Consider the following 19,774-nt stretch of genomic DNA (forward strand, 5'->3'; position numbering starts at 1 on the left):
TATAGTGAAGTTCTTATATTAACTTCAGCACCTTAGCCCAGCAGAATTGGTAAAATTCTCAGCTGTAAGAAATGCTTGGTTCTCTCAAGATACTCTTCTCAGGTAAATTTCCCAGTTCTTTTGTATCCACCATATAGTCATGATCTATGACTAATCACAACCCATAATATACTGGGCATTTCCTTATATTTGTGCTGATAAATATTTTCCTTAGTGTTTCTGACAGCTATTGTTCGGTTTTGTAGATTCTGCTTTTATTAAACCTCTGTGGCTCTAAGAACGGCTACTACTAATTTGATACTCTCAAAGCCAAAAGGTATGGTGGCTCATTAATTTGCAACTGATGTTGTGCAAATGCTCTCAGTAACTTCTGATCGCTTCCATAGGATTGCCTTCTGAGTTGCATTCCAACTACCCAGAAGTAATTGGTTATACTTCATTCTTGGATAGTCTTCTAAAATAGCTTCCTAAATTAACGCTAAGGTGTTATGTACACATCTCTGGGTCAATGAGGTGTGGTTTACAAAAGCATTTATTCATTCATTTAATAATTCATAAATCACTTATTGAAAACACATTTATGTTGAAGCAATGTGAATGACCCAGGGCTATGAAGACATGGCTTATTCACATTACAATCAGGTAGAGAGAGATAACATATAAACCAGCATGTGTACAAAATATGATATACACTGTAAAAAAGATTCAGCAGAAGAAAAAGGCAATGGTCAACTCTACCTGGGGAGAAAAAAAATAGTCTTTTCTACAGCCCAAGAATTCTTGAAGTACCATTAAAAGACTATTGTGTGCAGCTGAAATATGTGTCATCAAATTAAAACTTTGAATATATAACATTATGGACAAACAAAGATATTCAGTGAACGTTCCAAAACTTTACCCTCCTCCACTTCCAGAAGCAAAAAATGAATTCATAGCTTGTAAATGTTGATCTCAAATGGGAAAATAAAGAAAAACATTTGTTTCCTAGCATCTTTTCTAGAAATTTCCAGTTTTCTTCTCTTTGTGTTTCACCTCCTTGTCAGAACTTAGTAAAGTCAAACTTTCCAACAAAAAGTTAATGGCTGTGCTCACTTCCGAAGAGAATCAATTAAACTTATACATTTCATAATTTTTTACAATGCTAGACTTATGTTGAAAAGATTGATTTTTGTATTCCATTCTCCTTAAGTTAATCTTTAAAAGAAGCATACTTTAAAATATTTTAATATAAGATAAAAATTATACATTAAATATTCTCAGTGAAACACAACTTTATGCTGTCACCTTTCATCTTTAAGCCCCCAAATTCAGTATAAAATTGTAGGTCTATAGCATTAATTGCTACTGCTTTCTATAAAAAGGTTTTTGATAATTTTCATGTTTCAGATCTGCAAATTCCATTCTGTGATACTTTTTTTGTTTCAAAGTAATCATTAATAGAATTAATTCATTTTTAGTTATCAGGTATATAAAGACTAGGAACAACATTTGTTGGCAGATTCATAGGATTTTCTAGTTGAGATTGATGTGATTATTTATAGCATTAAATCTCTAAAAAGCATGAAATTCTCTTTCATACTCTCACCTTCATGAAGTCTATGAAAATCGATCAGTTGGAATAGTTCATATTCTACTTCCTATAATAAATAAAGTCAGTAAAAAAAGGTAGATAAAGCTTGTCTTTACTGTGGACATTATAAAATCCAATTTTAAAAATAAGAGTTTTGATCTGTATATGATGATTCTGAGCACATAACCATTAATTTAACAATAGAAGGCAGATAAGAATTATTTGACCCATATGGTCTAATAAAGTTTTAGAAATTAAATAATGCATGTACTTTTGTAGAAAGCAAAGAAAGGCATTTGAAAGGATATAATCACCTATCATCTCTTCCCACAGGACAACCACTATTTTCTAGTACACACACACACACACACACACACACACACACGATGCATGAACAAAAGCATTAAAGAACTGTTTCTTTTCAAAGATAGAAAATGTCCATTAAAATCACTCTTACAGCTATTAAAACTATTATAACATTAAAATAAAAGATTAAAAACAAACTCCAATGCACAGAAGTATTCAACTTTTTGAAAATTTCTTTCCTCCACTAAATAAGTTAGTAGTTAATAAATAAATTTTAATTTTTTATAATAAGTAGCAACAGACATTGCAAAAAGCTAACATACCCATCAAAAGAAATATTACCACTGACAACATGCATGTGTACTGTAGGTTTTGTGTATTTCTCAGGCTGCAATAATGCCATTGAGACAGTGGGGATATCAGAGCTGACACTGAGTGATCAAACTGAATTAAAAAATAAAAAAGTAAACCTTGTTAGTCACAAAGGCAGCGGGAGCAGCAGGGAGGGCTGGGGGTGGCAAAGAAATGTGCTTTTTAGTCTTACCTCCTACAGCCCCAGAGGAAATATGTTGATTTTTGGTGCGATTAGTTGCCACAAAAACTCTGCTCTAAGGAACCCTGTCTATTTCTTTACCTTCCAGGAACTATTATAATATTTTTAATTATTATGAAGCTTTCACGAAGATGCTCAGGGTGTTACATCAACAATTAAAACATCATCATCATAAACAATAACAATTAAAACCACATAAAGTGCACAGCACAAAACAGCCACAGAATACCGAGTACAATGGCACTGTTCAATGAGAAGGGCCCTTTTTGTAGTGTTTTCTGTAATGTGACATTACATAATTATATTCTGAAGTTCAAGACCGGAAGCAGTCAAAAAGCATCATCTGTCGACAAACTACAAAACAACTCCACATTGGTCTATGGAACATTGGCCTCATATTTGGGGGAATTACCTAGTATCCACTGCTTTCTTTAAAATCATGACTTTAAAAAAAATTGAATGCCAATTAAAATGAAGAAAGAACCCACTGACAGAGATTCTGGCAGAATAGAAAATGCTTGTAGGATTTTAGTACCTCTGTCTCCTCTTCCATATTCCACTGATTGTGGCGATTAGTAAGTTGCTTAAGCCCTTTATAATTCCATTTCAGCGTCTGTGAACAAGGAGCAAAATTGTTTCTGGCACCAGAGAAATTACTTTAGGATGTACTAACGAAAGATTCTGCTACTCAAGTAATTCACATAACACTGCCCACGAATCCACTGTATAGCCAGGGATACCAACTCTCTGGTTTGAAATATACATTTCCTTTGTAGATATTTTAAGTAAATGATATTCAGTGACTTCTTCATTATAGAAATGGCAAATATATATATTCTTTTCTTTTATAATTGAATAAAGTTTTTATTGAAATCTATCCTACACACCATAAGGTAAGGCGAGAATATAGATATAGCTTGAGGAATTTTCACAAATCAAGCATACCCATGCACTCACCACTCAGATGAATAAATTGGACAATCCACTAACACAGTAACCTCCTTTCTGTCTGCTCCAAGTTGTTACACTATTCCCAAAAAGGTAACCAGTGGGCTGCCTTCTTTGGCTATCTCTTTGCTCTACCTGGTTTTGTGCTTCATGGAAATAGGTTTATACCGCACTTAGTGTTTTATGTTTCTTCTTTTGCTCAATATAATGTTTGTGAAATTCACCCATGTTGCTGTGAGCAGTAATAGTGCCTTCATTTACATTATCGTATGGCATCACTTTATGTGAACATACCATGACTACTTGGTTATATTAGGTTTTAGGCTGCTGTCATGAACGTTCTTGTGTATGTCATTTGATGTGCATAGCTTTTCATTTAAGTATACATCTATGATAGAATGTCACAGAGTTTCTGAATGTTCAGAATGTCATAGAGTTTGTGGATCTTCAGCTTCAGTAAATACTGCCCAACAATCTTTCAAAGTGGCTAGCTCATTTTACATAATGACTACCTGAATATAAGATTTCCATTTGTTCAACATCCTTATCAAGAATTTTCATTTTCAGCGTTTTAAATTTTAAACTTTCATTTTTAAGTTAATTTATTCTGCTTCATTTTTAATATAATCTCATTTTGGTTTTAATTTTAATTTCTCTGATGACTAATGATGCTGAGCAGCTGTCTATGCATATTGGACATTTGAATATCTTCTTTTCTTCAATACTTTTGCCCTTTTTCTAAATTCTAAAAATTAAGTCTGTTTTTCTTGATTTAAAGAAGTTACATTCATACTCCTGAACATAGGAGTTTAGGAAAGGAGGACTGCCTTTCTCATGAATATGTATTGCCAACATAGTCTTCCACTCGGAGGTTTATCTTTTTTGTTTCTTACTGGCCATTTTTAATAAATAGAAGCAATAAATTTTCATAAAGTCCACTCTAGAAGTCTTTTACTTTTCTAGCAAATTTTTTGATAGCCTATTTGAGAAATATTTATAAACCCCAAAATCACAAGGACAGTCTCTGTTATCTTTTAAAAGGTGTTTGTTTTACATTTAAATTTAGATCTACAATCCACGGAGATTGCTATTTCTTTTTAATCATCTGAGGTAGCAATCAAGAGAAACATTTTTTTTTTCCATATGAATATTCAATTGACCTAGAACCACTTATTGAAAAAGAACACCTTTTCCCAATTGCACTAGACAGGAACTTTGTCATAATTCAAGTGAGTGTATCTGGATGCTGTGTGTGGCTTTGTTTATCCTTACTTTATCACTCCACTGTCTTAATTACTGGTGATTTAAAGTGTAGATATTTAGCAATGTGAGATTCCTCACTTTGTTCTTTTCCAAAATTTTCATTTCTATTCTTGGTCTTTTGCTTTTCCACACATATTTATATTCAGCTTGTCAATTTCCAACAAAAAATGATGGAATTTTGATTGGAATTCCATTGACTATATAAATCAATTAGGGCATACTGGATATACAACACTAGATTATCCAGTCCATGAACATGGTATCATTATTCACTCATTTAGTCTTCTCTAATTCCTTTATGCCTCCTAGCTTTATTTGTAGAGATCCTGAATATACTGTATTAGGTTTATTCCTAGGTATTTGATGTATTTTAAAGCTATTCTAAAAGTTACCATTATAAAATTTTTATTTTCTAAAGTTTGCTTATATTTAGAAATGTTTGATGGTTATGTTAATCTTACATGTAACACTGCTGAATTTACTAGTTAATTTTTACTAGTTATTCAATTGTATTTTACACAAATTATGACATATTTTTTTTCCTCCAACACATTGCTATATATTTATTTATTTACTTCATTGTACTGGCCAAGAACTGCAGGATGATGTTGAATAGAATTGGTGATGGTGGCATTGTTATCTCAATTTTCTCAAGAGAAAGTTTTCAATATTTAACCATTAAATAGGATGTTTGCTATAGGTTTTTGTTGATATCTTTTATCAGATTAAGAACATTCCTTGTTTGCTAAAAATTGTTATTATGGAAAGGGGTTGAATTTTATCAAATGCCTTTTCTACATCTATTATGATGATCATATTGTATTTTTCTTCTTTATTCTGTTAGCATAATTAAATTACACTGATTGATTTTTGAATGTTAACCTAATGTTCAATTCCCATAATAATATGCTGGATAATTTTCTTACATTTTCTAGAATATGTCAAGTATGAAAAAAGGTTTCATTATAAAAATAATAAGACTTTAAAAATTATCTTATTTTTACTAGTTTCTGACTCCTTTCTGTAAGGCATGCAAAGCTACCTGCTGCAGATCACCTCACTGGTTTTAATTGACCCTCAGGTATGCTTTTGTGATGAACTGGGGAATTCATGCTCTCTTTGTCCATTATAGCTTATATAACTGAGTAACTGGTAGCTGAGCATCTTAATATAGGAATAAATATAAAATGTTATTTATTTCATTGTAGGAAAATGGCTTACCCTTAAGCAATTTTTAAAATATTGTCTAATAACAGTTATTATTGTCTAAAGACTGTCAATACAGGGCTTTTGTAATAATCAGTTCTGGTGTCCACTTTAAAATATTGATGAAGGCTTTTAGTATTATAAACAAAGTTTTTCTGAGCTTCCTCAGATCTGATTAGTAATTTACTTTTCAGAACCTCTTCCAACCTATCTTATAATTCTAGATGGCAAATGTAGTACAAATAAAAGATATATTTTATGAAAAATGTAAATGCCACACAAAAATGTATAAGCTCAGTCACTTTAAAAACATGATGTGGCCTTCTACCCCCAGATGTCTATACCTTTCAACAAAATTTGGAAGTGGAGGGGATCCCTGGGCAAGATGGCCAAACAGGAACAGCTCTGGTCTGCAGCTCCAAGCAACACCAATGCAGAAAGCAGTTGATTTCTGCATTTCCAACTGAGGTATCCAGTTCATCTCATTGGGACTGGTTAGACAGTGGGTGCAGCCAACGGAGGGCGAGCAGAAGCAGGGTGGGCTATTGCCTCACCCAGGAAACTCAAGAGGTTGGGGAACTCCCTCCCCTAACCAAGGATAGCCATGAGGGACTGTGCCTTGAGGGACAGAGCATTCAGGCCCAGGTACGCTTTTATCACAGCCTTCCCAACCCACAACCAGGAGATTTGCTCAGGTGTCTACACCACCAGGGCCCTGGGTTTCAAGCACAAAACTGGATGACCATTTGGGCAGACACTGACCTAGCTGCAGGAGTTTTTTTTTCATACCCCAGTGCCACTTGGAGTGTCAGCAAGACAGAACCATTCACTCCCCTGGAAAGGGGACTAAAGCTAGGGAGCCAAGTGATATAGTTATGCGAATCCCACCCCAAAGAGCCCAGCAAGGTAAAATCCACTGGCTTGAAATTCTTGCTGCCAGCATAGCAGTCTGAAGTCAACCCGGGATGCTCGATCTTGAAGAGGGGGGACGGGCGTCTGCCATTAATGAGGCTTGAGTAGGCAGTTTTCCCCTCACAATACAAACAAAGCCCCCAGGAAGTTTGGACTGGGTGGAGCCCATCACAGCTCAGCAAGGCCCTTGTGGCCAGATTGCCTCTCTAGATTCCTCCTCTCTGGGCAGGGCATCTTTGCAAGAAATGCATCAGCCCCAGTCAAGGGCATATAGATAAAACTCCCATCTCCCCGGGACAGAGTACCTGGGGGAAGGGGTGGCTGTTGGCGCAGCTTCAGCAGACTTAAATATTCCTTCCTGCCAGGTCTGAAGAGAGCAGCAGATCTCCCAGCACAGTGCTCAAGCTCTGCTAAGGGACAGACTGCCTCCTCAAGTGGGTCCCTGACACCCCCGTTGTCTCCTGATGGGGAGGCACCTCCCAGCAGGGGTCGACAGACACCTCATACAGGAGAGCTCTGGCTGGTATCTGGCGAGTGCCCCTCTGGGACAAAGCTTCCAGAGAAGGGAACAGCCAGCAATCTTTGCTGTTCTGCAACCTCAGCTGGTGATATCCATGGAAACAAGGTCTGGATTGGACCCCCAGCAAACTCCAGCAAACCTGCAGAAGAGGGACCTGACTGTTAGAAGGAAAACCAACAAACAGAAAGCAATGGCATCAACATCAACAAAAAGGATGATCATGGAAAAACTTCATCCAAAGGCTACCAACAGCAAAGACAAAAGGTAGATAAATCCATGAAGATGAGGGAAAACCAGTGCAAAAAGGCTGAAAATTCCAAAAATCGGAATGCCACTTCTCCTCCAAAGGATCACAACTTCATGCCAGCAAGGGAACAAAACTGGATGGAGAATGAGTTTGACAAATTGACAAAAGTAGGTTTCAGGAGGTGGGTAATAACAAATTCCTCTGAGCCAAAGGACCATGTTCTAACCCAATGCAAGGAAGCCAAGAACCTTGAAAAAAGGTTAGAGGAATTGCTAACTAGAATAACAAGTTTAGAGAAGAACATAAATGACCTGATGAAGCTGAGAAACATAGCATGAGAACTTCGTGAAGCATACACAAATATCAATAGACAAATCAATAAAGCGGAAGAAAGGATACCAGAGATTGAAGATCCACTTAATGAAATAAAGCATAAGATTAGAGAAAAAAGAATGAAAAAGAATGAGCAAAGACTCTAAGAAATATGGGACTATGTGAAAAGACAAAATCTACGTTTGATTGGTGTACCTGAAAGTGACAGAGAGAATGGAACCAAGTTGGAAAACACACTTCAGGATATTATCCAGGAGAATTTCCCCAACCTAGCAAGACAGGCCAACATTCAAATTCAGGAAATACACAGAACACCACTAAGATACTCCTTGAGAAGAGCAACCCCAAGACACATAATTGTCAGATTCTCCAAGGTTGAAATGAAGGAAAAAATGTTAAGGGCAGCCAGAGAGTAAGGTCAAGTTACCCACAAAGGGAAGCCCATCAAACTAAGCAGATGTCTCTGCAGAAACCCTACAAGCCAATATTCAACATTCTTAAAGAAAAGAATTTTCAACCCAGAATTTCATATCCAGCCAAACTAAGCTTCATAAGTGAAGGAGAAATAAAATCCTTTACAGATAAGCAAATGCGGAGGGATTTTGACACCACCAGGCCTGCTTTACAAGAGTTCCTGAAAGAAGCACTAAATATGGAAAGGAAAAACCAGTACCAGACACTGCAAAAACAAAGCAAAATGTAAAGATCATTGACACTATGGAAAAACTACATCAACTTATGGGCAAAAAAAACAGCTAGCATCATAATGATGAGATCAAATTCACACATAACAATATTAAACTTAAATGTAAATGTGCTAAATGCCCCCAATTAAAAGGCACAGACTGGCAAATCTGATAGAGTGCAGACCCATCAGGTGCCGTATTCAGGAGACACATCTCACGTGCAGAGACACACATAGGCTCAAAATAAAGGGACGGAGGAAGATTTACCAAGCAAATGGAAAGCAAAAAAAGCAGAAGATTGAATCCTAGTCTCTGATAAAACAGACTTTAAACCAACAAAGATAAAAAAAAAGACAAAGAAGGACATTACATAATGGTAAAGGGATCAATGTAGCAAGACCTAACTATATTAAATATATATGCATCTAATATAGGAGCACCCAGATTCATAAAGCAAGTTCTTAGAGGTCTACAAAGAGACTTAGACTCACACACAATAATAGTAGGAGACTTTAACACTCCACTGTCAATATTAGACAGATCAACAAGACAGAAAATTAATAAGGATATTCAGGACTTGAACTCAGCTCTGGATCAAGCAAACCTAATAGACATCTACAGAACTCTCCACCCCAAATCTACAGAATATACATTCTTCTCAGCACCATGTCGTGCTTGTTCTAAAAATCAACCACATAATTGGAAGTAAAACACTCCTCAGTAAATGCAAAAGAATGGAAATCATAACAAACAGTTTCTCAGACCACAGTGCAATCAAATTAGAACTCACAATTAAGAAACTCACTCAAAACTGTACAACTACACGGAAACTGAACAACCTGCTCCTGAATGACTACTGGGTAAATAACGAAGTGAAGGCAGAAATAAATAAGTTCTTTGAAACCAATGAGAACAAATACACAATGTACCAGAATTTTGGGGACACAGCTGAAGCAGTGTTTAGAGGGAAATTTATAGCACTAAATGCCCACAGGAGAAAGCAGGAAAGACCTAAAATCGGCACCCTAACATCACAATTAAAAGAGCTAGAAAAGCAAGGGCAAACAAATTCAAAAGCTAGGAGAGGGCAAGAAATAACTAAGATCAGAGCAGAACTGAAGGAGATAGAGACACAAAAAACCCTTCAAAAAATCAATGCATCTAGGAGCTAGTTTTTTGAAAAGATTAACAAAATAGATATACTACTAGCCAGACTAATAAAAAAGAAAAGAGAGAAGAAGAAAATAGACACAATAAAACATGATAAAAGAGAGATCACCACTGATCCCACAGAAATACAAACTACCATCAGAGAATAATATAAATACCTCTATGCAAATAAACTAGAAAATCTAGGAGAAAGAGAAAAATTCCCAGACACATACACCCTGCCAAGACTAAACCAAGAATAAGTCAAATCCCTGAATAGACTAATAACAAGTTATGAAATTGAGGCAGTGATTGATAGCCTACCAACCAAAAAAAAGCCCAGAACCAGACGGATTCACAGTTGAATTCTACCAAAGGTACAAACAGGAGCTGGTACCATTCCTTCTGAAACTGTTCCAAACAATAGAAAAAAAGAGACTTTTCCCTAACTCATTTTATGAGGCCACCATCATCCTGATACCAAAACCAGGCAGAGACACAATGAAAAAAGAAAATTTCAGGTCAATATCCCTGATGAATATCAATGCAAAAATCTTCAATAAAATACTGGCAAACCTAATCCAGCAGCACATCAAAAGGCTTATCCACCACGATCACGTCAGCTTCATCCCAGGGAGGCAAGGCTGGTTCAACCTATGCAAATCAATAAATGTAATCCATCACATAAACAGAACCAATGACAAAAACCACATGATTATCTCAATAGTTGCAGAAAAGGTCTGTGATAAAATACAACACCCCTTCATGTTAAAAACACTAAATAAACTAGGTGTTGATGGAATGTATCTCAAAATAATAAGAGCTATCTATGACAAACCCACAGCCAATATCATACTGAATTGGCAAAAACTGGAAGCATTCCCTTTGAAAACCAGCACAAGAAAAAGATGCCCTCTCTCACCACTACTATTCAACATAGTATTGGATGTTCTGGCCAGGGCAATCGGGCAAAAGAACAAAATAAAGTATTCAAATAGGAAGAGAGGAAGTCAAATTGTATCTGTTTGCAGATGACATGATTGTATATTTAGAAAACCGCATCATCTCAGCCCCAAAACTCCTTAAGCTGATAGGCAACTTCAGCAAAGTTTCAGGATATAAAATCAATGTGCAAAAATCACATGTATTTTTTTACACCAATAATAGCCAAATCATGAGTGAATTCCCATTCACAATTACTACAAAGAGAATAAAATACCTAGGAATACAATTTACAAGGGGTGTGAAGGACCTATAAACCACTGCTCAAGGAAATAAGGACACAAATAAATGGAAAAACATTCCATGCTCATGGATAGGAAGAATCAATATCATAAAAATGGCCCATACTGCCCAAAGTAATTTATGCATTCAATGCTATTCCCATCAAGATACCATTGAATTTCTTCACAGAATTGGAAAAAACTACTTTAAGTTTCATATGGAAACAAAAAAGCGCCTGTATACCCAAGACAGTCCTAAGCAAAAAGAACAAAGCTGGAGGCATCACGCTACCTGACTTCAAACTATACTACAAGTCTGCAGTAACCAAAACAGCATGGTACTTGTACCAAAACAGATATATAGACCAATGGAACAGAACAGAGGCCTCAGAAATAAAGCCACACATCCACAACCATCTGATCTTTGACAAACCTGACAAAAACAAGAAATGGGGAAAGGATTCCCTATTTTATAAGTGGTGTTGGGAAAACTGGCTAGCCGTATGCAGAAAACTGAAACTGGACCCCTTCCTTACACCTTATGCAAAAATTAACCCAAGATAGATTAAAGACTTAAATATAAGACCTAAAGCCATAAAAGCCCTAGAAGAAAACCTAGGCAATATCATTCAGGACATAGGCATGGGCAAAGATTTCATGACTAAAACACCAAAAGCAATGGCAACAAAAGCCAAAATTGACAAATGGGATCTAATTAAATTAAAGAGCTCCTGCACACCAAAAGCAACTATCAACAGAGTAAAAAGGCAACCTACAGAATGGGAGAAAATTTTTGCAGTCTATCGATCTGACAAAGGCTAATATCCAGAATCTACAAGGAACTTAAACAAATTTACAAGAAAAAAAAATCAAAAAGTGGGCAAAGGATATGAACAGATATTTTTCAAAAGAAGACATTTATGCAGCCAACAAACATATGAAAAAAAAAGCTCATCATCACTGGTCATTAGAGAAATGCAAATCAAAACCACAATGAGATACCATTAACACCAGTTAGAATGGTGATCATTAAAAAGTCAGGAAACAACAGATACTAGAGAGGACTGGAGAAATATGAACGCTTTTACACTGTTGGTGGGTGTGTAAATTAGTTCAACCGTTATGGAAGACAGTGTGGCAATTCCTCAATAATCTAGAACCAGAAATACATTTGACCTAACAATCCCGTTACTGGTTATATACCCAGAGGATTATAAATCATTTTCTGCTATAAAGACACAGGCACACATATGTTTATTACAGCACTGTTCACAATAGCAAAGACTTGGAACCAATCCAAATGCCCATCAATGTTAGACTGGATAAAGAAAATGTGGCACATATACACCATGGAATACTCTGCAGTCATGAAAAAGAATGAGTTCGTGTCCTTTGCAGGGACATGGATGAAGCTGGAAACCATCATTCTCAGCAAAATAATAGAGGGACAGAAAGCCATACACCGCATGTTCTCACTCATAAGTCAGAGTTGAACAAGAGAACACATGGACACAGGGAGGGGAACATCACACACCAGGGCCTGTCAAGGGGTGGGGGACCAGGGGCAGGATGGCATTAGGAGAAATACGTAATGTAGATGACGGGTTGATGGGTGCAGCAAACCACCATGGCACATGTATACCTATGTAACAAACCTGCACGTTCTGCACATGTATCCCAGAACTTAAAGTATAATAAAAGTAAAGGAAAAAAAATTTTTGGAAGTGTAAACGCTGTATACAAAGTGGAAGTACCTAAGTGGCAGCAGATTTGCCTTTTCTAAGAAGAATTTGGATAAAAAAAATTTTGGTTGTTACATAAAAGGAGCAATCACTAACCAAATGAAGTGAGTGAAAGAATTTACAAGCAAGCCACTTAGAATTTTAGAGTTGCTGCATATTTTAGGTGAGGGATTAATAGACAGTATTTGGAACTCCAATAATGTCTCTTTTCAAATCGAAAAATGGAAACTAAACCAAGATGTTAGTTTGGGAAGCAGCTGCAGCCCATTGTAGGAGAATACATGCGCATTCCTTCAATGCTGTTACTAAGATACCAAATTTAGCACAAAACAATACAACTTTGAAAAACCAAAGAACTTGGGCTTAGAAATTCACTTTTACCAAGAATGTAAAATTTGTGATAGGTTTGCTGTAATAAGTTCATATGATCTAGCTCAGATAAATTGTTTCCTTTAGCCCTTTGCAGTAAAAAGTGTTTTTTCTGTGTACTCTCTCTTTAAAGCCTGTTAGTATTAAAATTCCATCTTATCTAATTTATAATTCCATCTTATCTAATTTATAAAAATGTTTAATCAAATAAGATTTTGAACATTAATTATATTCCTCAAACAGTTTCTAGGAATCATCTCCTAAGTTTCTGAATTCCAAGCAAGTAGTACTGTGCCTGCCATTCAGTAGTCAATATATTCTTATATTAACTATATTAATATAACATTATTACTATTAACTATATTAGTTAATAGTAAATATTTATGATAAATAAATGTTTAATTAAAGAATGAAGTCATTCAACTTTAAAATTTTTATCTTTCAAAATCTTGATGAAAAAATAGTCCATGAATCAAATTTATTAGCTTATATGAAAAGAGTCCATATCTTTACTCCTACCTCTCACTTGTTACTATTACCTTTTGGGTATTTTTGGAGTTTGGTGTTCATGCTTGAAACAACTATTTTATTTTAGTAATAAATGTAAAACTTTCTCATATGTTCTCAAGAGAAAGCATCATTAAGATGCAAAAATAAAAAATAGAAATATTTTTAAAGAGAAATATTCTCTTTAGAAAGAGATTATGTTTTTCCATTCAAATTTTCTTTTCCATTTCTTATCTCATTCTCTCCATGCAATCTCTCGTGGGACACTTTAAAAAAAAAGTTTTTCCAAAAGTTGAATTAAATGAAGTTCCTTTTTATATGAATACTTCCTATAATAGATTTATCTCATACTTTCAGACATATCCTGATATATAAAAATAAAGAAATTAGTTTTATGGGCCAGGCACAATGGCTTATACCTGTAATATCAGAACTTTGGGAGGCCAAGGAGGGAGGACTGCTTGTGTCCAAGAGATCAAGACCAGCCTGGGCAGCATAGTGAGACCCCCATCTCTACAAAAAAAAATAAAAAATTAGACAGATCTGGTGGTGCATGCCTATAGTCCCAGCTATTTGAGAGGCTGACCTAGGAGAATAACTTGAGCCCAGCCAATCAAGGCTGCAGTGAGCTGTGATCATGCCACGACACTCAGCCTGAACAACGGAACGGGATGAGATCCTGTCTCAAATAAATAAATAAATAAATTAGTTTCAAGACCTTATTTTATTTATTGAATATTGAATAATTATGGGCACCCTCCATGCATCTTCTTGTTGTATTCATAGATCACAAATTGCTTTCTTCAGATTGTATAAAGCAGAATTGGCCAGTGTTCAAGCTCTTTGATTAAACAAAATGTAAAGGAATATAATATCCCCCTAAAAGAGAAGATGCGGTGTGGTGGAGCCTTCCCACAGTGTCTGACACAGCAGGATTACCACTGTCATATCCACGCTCCAATCGCTCCCTTGTCAGTCCTTCAAATATTTCAGCACTTTTTCTTTCCTTTAATTATTCATTTAAACAATGAAATAGGGAGGGAACTTCACCCACTTGGTTAATAGCCTTTGATTATAGAGTGAGAATGGAGAACCTTACTGGGAATTCTAAGTTCAACTGCACACTGAAAAGTTTATAAATAAAGTTTCCTGTTAGCTAACCAGAAGTGTCTAAAAATCACCATGTCACATTCATAGTTTAGTCTAGAAATTTAGAGCTAGAGCTGGGGAACATTATACCTGGGAATATAAACAAAATAATTCATTAGACGCTCACTGTATGTGTACACAAGAACAAAGGGAACACTTGTATATAAAACATAAAATTTTGCTACTACCATATCTTGAAAGGATAAAACGTCCTTAATCACATCTAACAACTATGCTTGAATGAAATGTGCCCTATTGTTACATTTGAATTGTAGAGTTTTTTGGTGTTATGTTGGTGACATTAGTGTTGAACTTTGTTTATTTCGCTACAGCACTAGCAATCTAGAAACAAATATAACACATCATGGACTTTCTAACTAAAGAGAGATTAGGAATGAATTCAAAGAATTTCAACTGGCCAAACCTGGTGGCTCAGGCCTTTAGTCCCAGATACTTCGGAGGCTGAGGCTGGAGGATTGCTTGAGCCCGGGAGTTTGAGGCTGCAGTGAGCTATGACCATGCCACTGCACTCCAGCCTGGGAGAGAGAGTGAGACCCTGTCTCCAAAAAAGAAAAAAGAAAGAATTGCAGGCATGTTTTGTTTATGCAATATAAAAGATATTTCACCATACACAGTGGTCCTCCTCTTATCTGTGGTTTCACATTCCATGGAAAGTCCAGAGTATCCATGTTGTAGATGCTACCTGCTTATTAGTAGCCGTCTCCTTGGTGGGTGACTGTTGAATTGTATTGTAGTGTTTATGTTCAAGTAACTTTTATTTTACTTAATAGTGGCCCCAAAGTGCAAAAGTAATGATGCTGGCAATTTGGATTCGCCAAACAGATGTCTAAAAGTGTTTCCTTTAAGTGATAAGCTGAAAATTATCTTAATAAGGAAAGGAAAATAACCATATACTGAGGTTACTAAGATCTACAGTAATAAAGAATCTTATATCTGTGAAATTATGAAAAGTAGATTGCTATAATTATTCTCATCTCTTACTGTGCCCAATTTTATAAATTAAACTTTATCATAGGTATGTTTTATTAAAAAAGAAAACAGAGTGTATAAAGGGTTCAATATTATCCACAGTTTCAGGCACCCACTGCAGGTCTTGAAACATATCCTCCGTGGGCCAGGCATGGTGGCTTATGCCTGTAATCCCAGCACTTTGGGAGGCCGAGGCAGGTAGATCCTCTGAGATCAGGAGTTCGAGATCAGCCTGGTCAACATGGTGAAACCCTGTCTCTACTAAAAGTACAAAACTAGCCGGGTGTGGTGGCGGGCGCCTGTAGTCCCAGCTACTCAGGAGGCTGAGATAGGAGAATCACTTGAACCTGTGAGGCAGAAGCTGCAGTGAGCTGAGATCGCACCGCTGCGCTCTAGCCTGGGCAACAGAGCAAGACTCCATCTCAAAACAACAACAACAACAACAACAACAACAAAATCTACCCCATGGATAAGAGGACACTACTGTATACTATATACAATATAACGCTCAATATTTTTATGGATAAGAACAGCATCAATATAAAGTACTCATTCCAAAGCATTGCAACTCAAAATGCTGAACTCATAAAATTTAAGACATACTAACATTAGCCAAATATTGAAATTAAGCTATACTATATGATTTAAATAAATATTATACATCTGTATATATAAAAATGTGAAATGTATTCCTAAATAGGTTAAGATTTTTTGATAAAAGATTAAAAATAAAACAAAATTCTCCATCTCCAAGAATTTTAGAACTGGCTACCAAACTGCCTTTTGTAATGTCTGGAAATAATTGCAAATATATGTGTAAATATATAAATAACACTGCATTTCTGTATTTTCACCTTATTGCAATAATTTTACTACAAGCAAACTGTATTCTTAGAAAGCAGATATTTTTTATTATGCAATATGCCTCCTTTGGACAAGATCAACATTCATTCAAGGTGAAGTCTAACCAGCTATTTCTGATGACTTTCCTATTACTCTTAATCTCATAGCAATCACTCCCCTCTATGCTTCTCTGCTTTTTTCACATTGTTATGTAATTCTGCCTGTGAATTCATGTCCCCTTTTGTTTCCACACCTGTTTATATGGCACCTAGTAGGTGTTCAATATATGCTTTTGAATAGTATTTAATGATTTATTTTATTTCCAGAGACCTTGGACATTTGACTTGATGATATGACTTCCAAATGTCTCTTTTACCCATTCGTTCTTTTAAATTATTCACTGTTAATCTCATGCTTAGAAGTCTCTCAATCTACAGTTTTATTCGTGCTGAATAATGCCACCAGAATAATCATTATAAAGCAATGCTGTCATCGTGCCACACTTTTACATTAAAAACCATCCACACGACCTACTGCCTACAGGATACATTAATTTATTCAGTGAGAAAACATTTATAGAGTGTTTTCTATGTGCCGAGATGTTGTTCAAACATTCAAGTCCCTCTGAATTTGGCTATAATCAACATTTGCATCAAAATCTCCAAACTTTGACCTTCTTGGATCTGACACTCTAGCTATTTTTATTTTATTGTCTCCTTTACGTATATCTGTGCCTTCCCACTTTCCAAATTCTGCACATTAAGACTGCTCTTTTCTTCAATGACTAATCTAATTTTTAAGACATAATTAAATTTCTCCTTTTATGAAAATTTTACAAGCCATTTCAGATATGAATAATTTGTTTTCTATTGTACTCAACTCTCTTTTAATTGTAAGCTGCCTTCTAATAGATTTAATTTTACTGTATTAATTTTATTATAGAAGTCAGAATATACAATTAAAAATGAGGGCTTTAGAATTGATTGTATTTAAGTTGAAATTACCAGTAAGATAAATGCTAGTCATATGATTTTGGTTAAATTAATGTCTGAATTAGTTTCCTACTTCTAAAGTGAAATTAGTAATAACTAGTTTCTAGACAGTAAGAATTTAATGAGATAGCATTGGTATTTATTGATGATAACTTTTGTACAGTTTTGCAAATTTTGTATTTATGTTTATCAACTAGTTTGCAAGGCCTTGAGAACAAACGGGTATATCATATTTTATTATATATACTATTATGAGAAGCAGAATCATGGAAAATATTTCTGTCATAATGGATTATTTAATTATTTAGTTTTTCTATAATATACTTCTGGGAAAACAATAAACCATGGATACAACAATATGACAGAAAGATAATACCTGATCAGTGAATAATATGTCAAATTTTATATGTGTTTATGTATGTGTGTTTATTTTGTATATATATTTAAGTTTATAGGTATATAAATGTACATGTATACTAGTATATATAGATACGTGCATACATACATAGACGCACTCAAATGTATGTAGATATGTATATAAATACGCATATGAAGTGTGTTCATACAAAATACCCATATATACACATTTCTACACACACATTTACTCACATACAGACATAATTCAGATAAGAAACTATTTTGGCCATTCCTGTTATGACTAATTTGTTTTCTATTGTACTCAACTGTCTTTTAATTGTAAGCTGCCTTCCAATAGATTTAATTTTGTTGTATTGATTTTACTATGGAAGACAGAATTATACAATTAAAAATGAGGGCTTTATAATTGGTTGTATTTGAGTTCAAATTATCAGTAAGATAAATACTAGTCATGTGATTGTGGTTAAATTAATTTCTGAATTAGTTTATTACCTCTAAAGTGAAATCAGTAATAACTAGTTTCTAGATGATAAGAATTCACTCAAACATTTGTAGATATGTACATAAACATACATATGAACAGTGTTCATATAAAATACCCATATATATACACTATTTGAACAAATTAGTGATATCCGGAATTGCCAAAATAGTTTCTTATCTGATTTTACTATGTTTGTATGTGAGTATGTGTGTGTAGAAATGTGTACATATGGGTATTTTATATGAACACTGTTCAGATGTATATTAATGTACATATCTATATACATTTGAGTGTGTCTATGTGTGTATGTACATATCTGCATTTACAAATATTTCTAGAGAGCACAGTTCTGTTGGAAATGCAACTGGAGGTAATAGTGCACTTTGTTAGGAGCTAAAATATCAACATTTTAAAGATTTCCAGACTTCAACTTGAAGAGGGCTCAAAATGGATATTTTGAACTGATCAGGTTCAATTACATTAAAGAAAGACCAATAAATCAGTAAAATATACAAGAATCTTTTAAAGATTATACTAATCGAAAAAATTATTTCTCTAAAGATTTTGTTTTAAAGAAAGTTTCTTGATTTAGGGAGAATTTTAAGCTTAATCTTACATTGCATTATTGATCAACTGGATGAAAGGAGCAACTTCCATTTTTCCATTTTTTATTTCTTCTATTAAAACCCAAGCACACAGTTCTATGGCATTGCCCTTCATTTGTTCTGCCCAGTTGGAATGCATGGCTAAGCTCTCAAGGGAATGTTCTTGCTATTTATTATTGATTTTATAGCTCAAAAATGTGAGTGGGCAGTGAATGGCTGGATTGCAGATTAGGAAATAACCACTTAGAAGAAGAAGCCAGCTGGACACTTGTGATAAATTGCTATTTTCTGTCTGAATTTTATACCTAGTTATAGGTAGTTTACAGAATTAAGCTCCATATGGACAAAATGCTACTGAGGGGACTACAACATAACCTGTGCGTAGTTACAGATGCTTTTCTCATTCTTTTGGGACACGTTGTAGGAGAAATATGTCATAATCAGGGATTTAGAAATAATGAAAGATTTGGCTTTCATCTGTTTTTCATGGATTTGCCAGAGCTGAGATAAAGAAAACAAACATACACAAATGTTAGCTCTGATAGCATTAAAACAGACTAAACAAATGCTCCCTGAATGCGATTAGACACACACACAGACACACACACAAGCTCTAGCACCACTTTCACCAGCAGCACTGTAATTCTCAGCATAGAAAAGTTTCAATGCTTTTAAGTAATGTTGAAATAAATTGTCTGCCATAAAATAATCTTGATAAATTATCCAATTGTTTTTCTTGACTTAATAATATCACATTAGTCAGCTCAAGCTGCTATATAACAGAATACCATAGACTAAG

General features: G+C 35.0%; 1 annotated feature.

The window, feature by feature from the left end:
- Window positions 4,918–5,087: an enhancer, noted in NCBI's record as "experimental_84391 CRE fragment used in MPRA reporter constructs". NCBI's record gives its function as "activates a minimal promoter by MPRAs in K562 erythroleukemia cells, with activity observed for the non-introgressed 5:30774027 variant allele {active_cell/tissue: K562}" and the evidence as "EXISTENCE:reporter gene assay evidence [ECO:0000049][PMID:34662402]".

The sequence above is a fragment of the Homo sapiens genome, chromosome 5, assembly GCF_000001405.40.
Source record: "Homo sapiens chromosome 5, GRCh38.p14 Primary Assembly".
Classification (NCBI taxonomy): domain Eukaryota; kingdom Metazoa; phylum Chordata; class Mammalia; order Primates; family Hominidae; genus Homo; species Homo sapiens.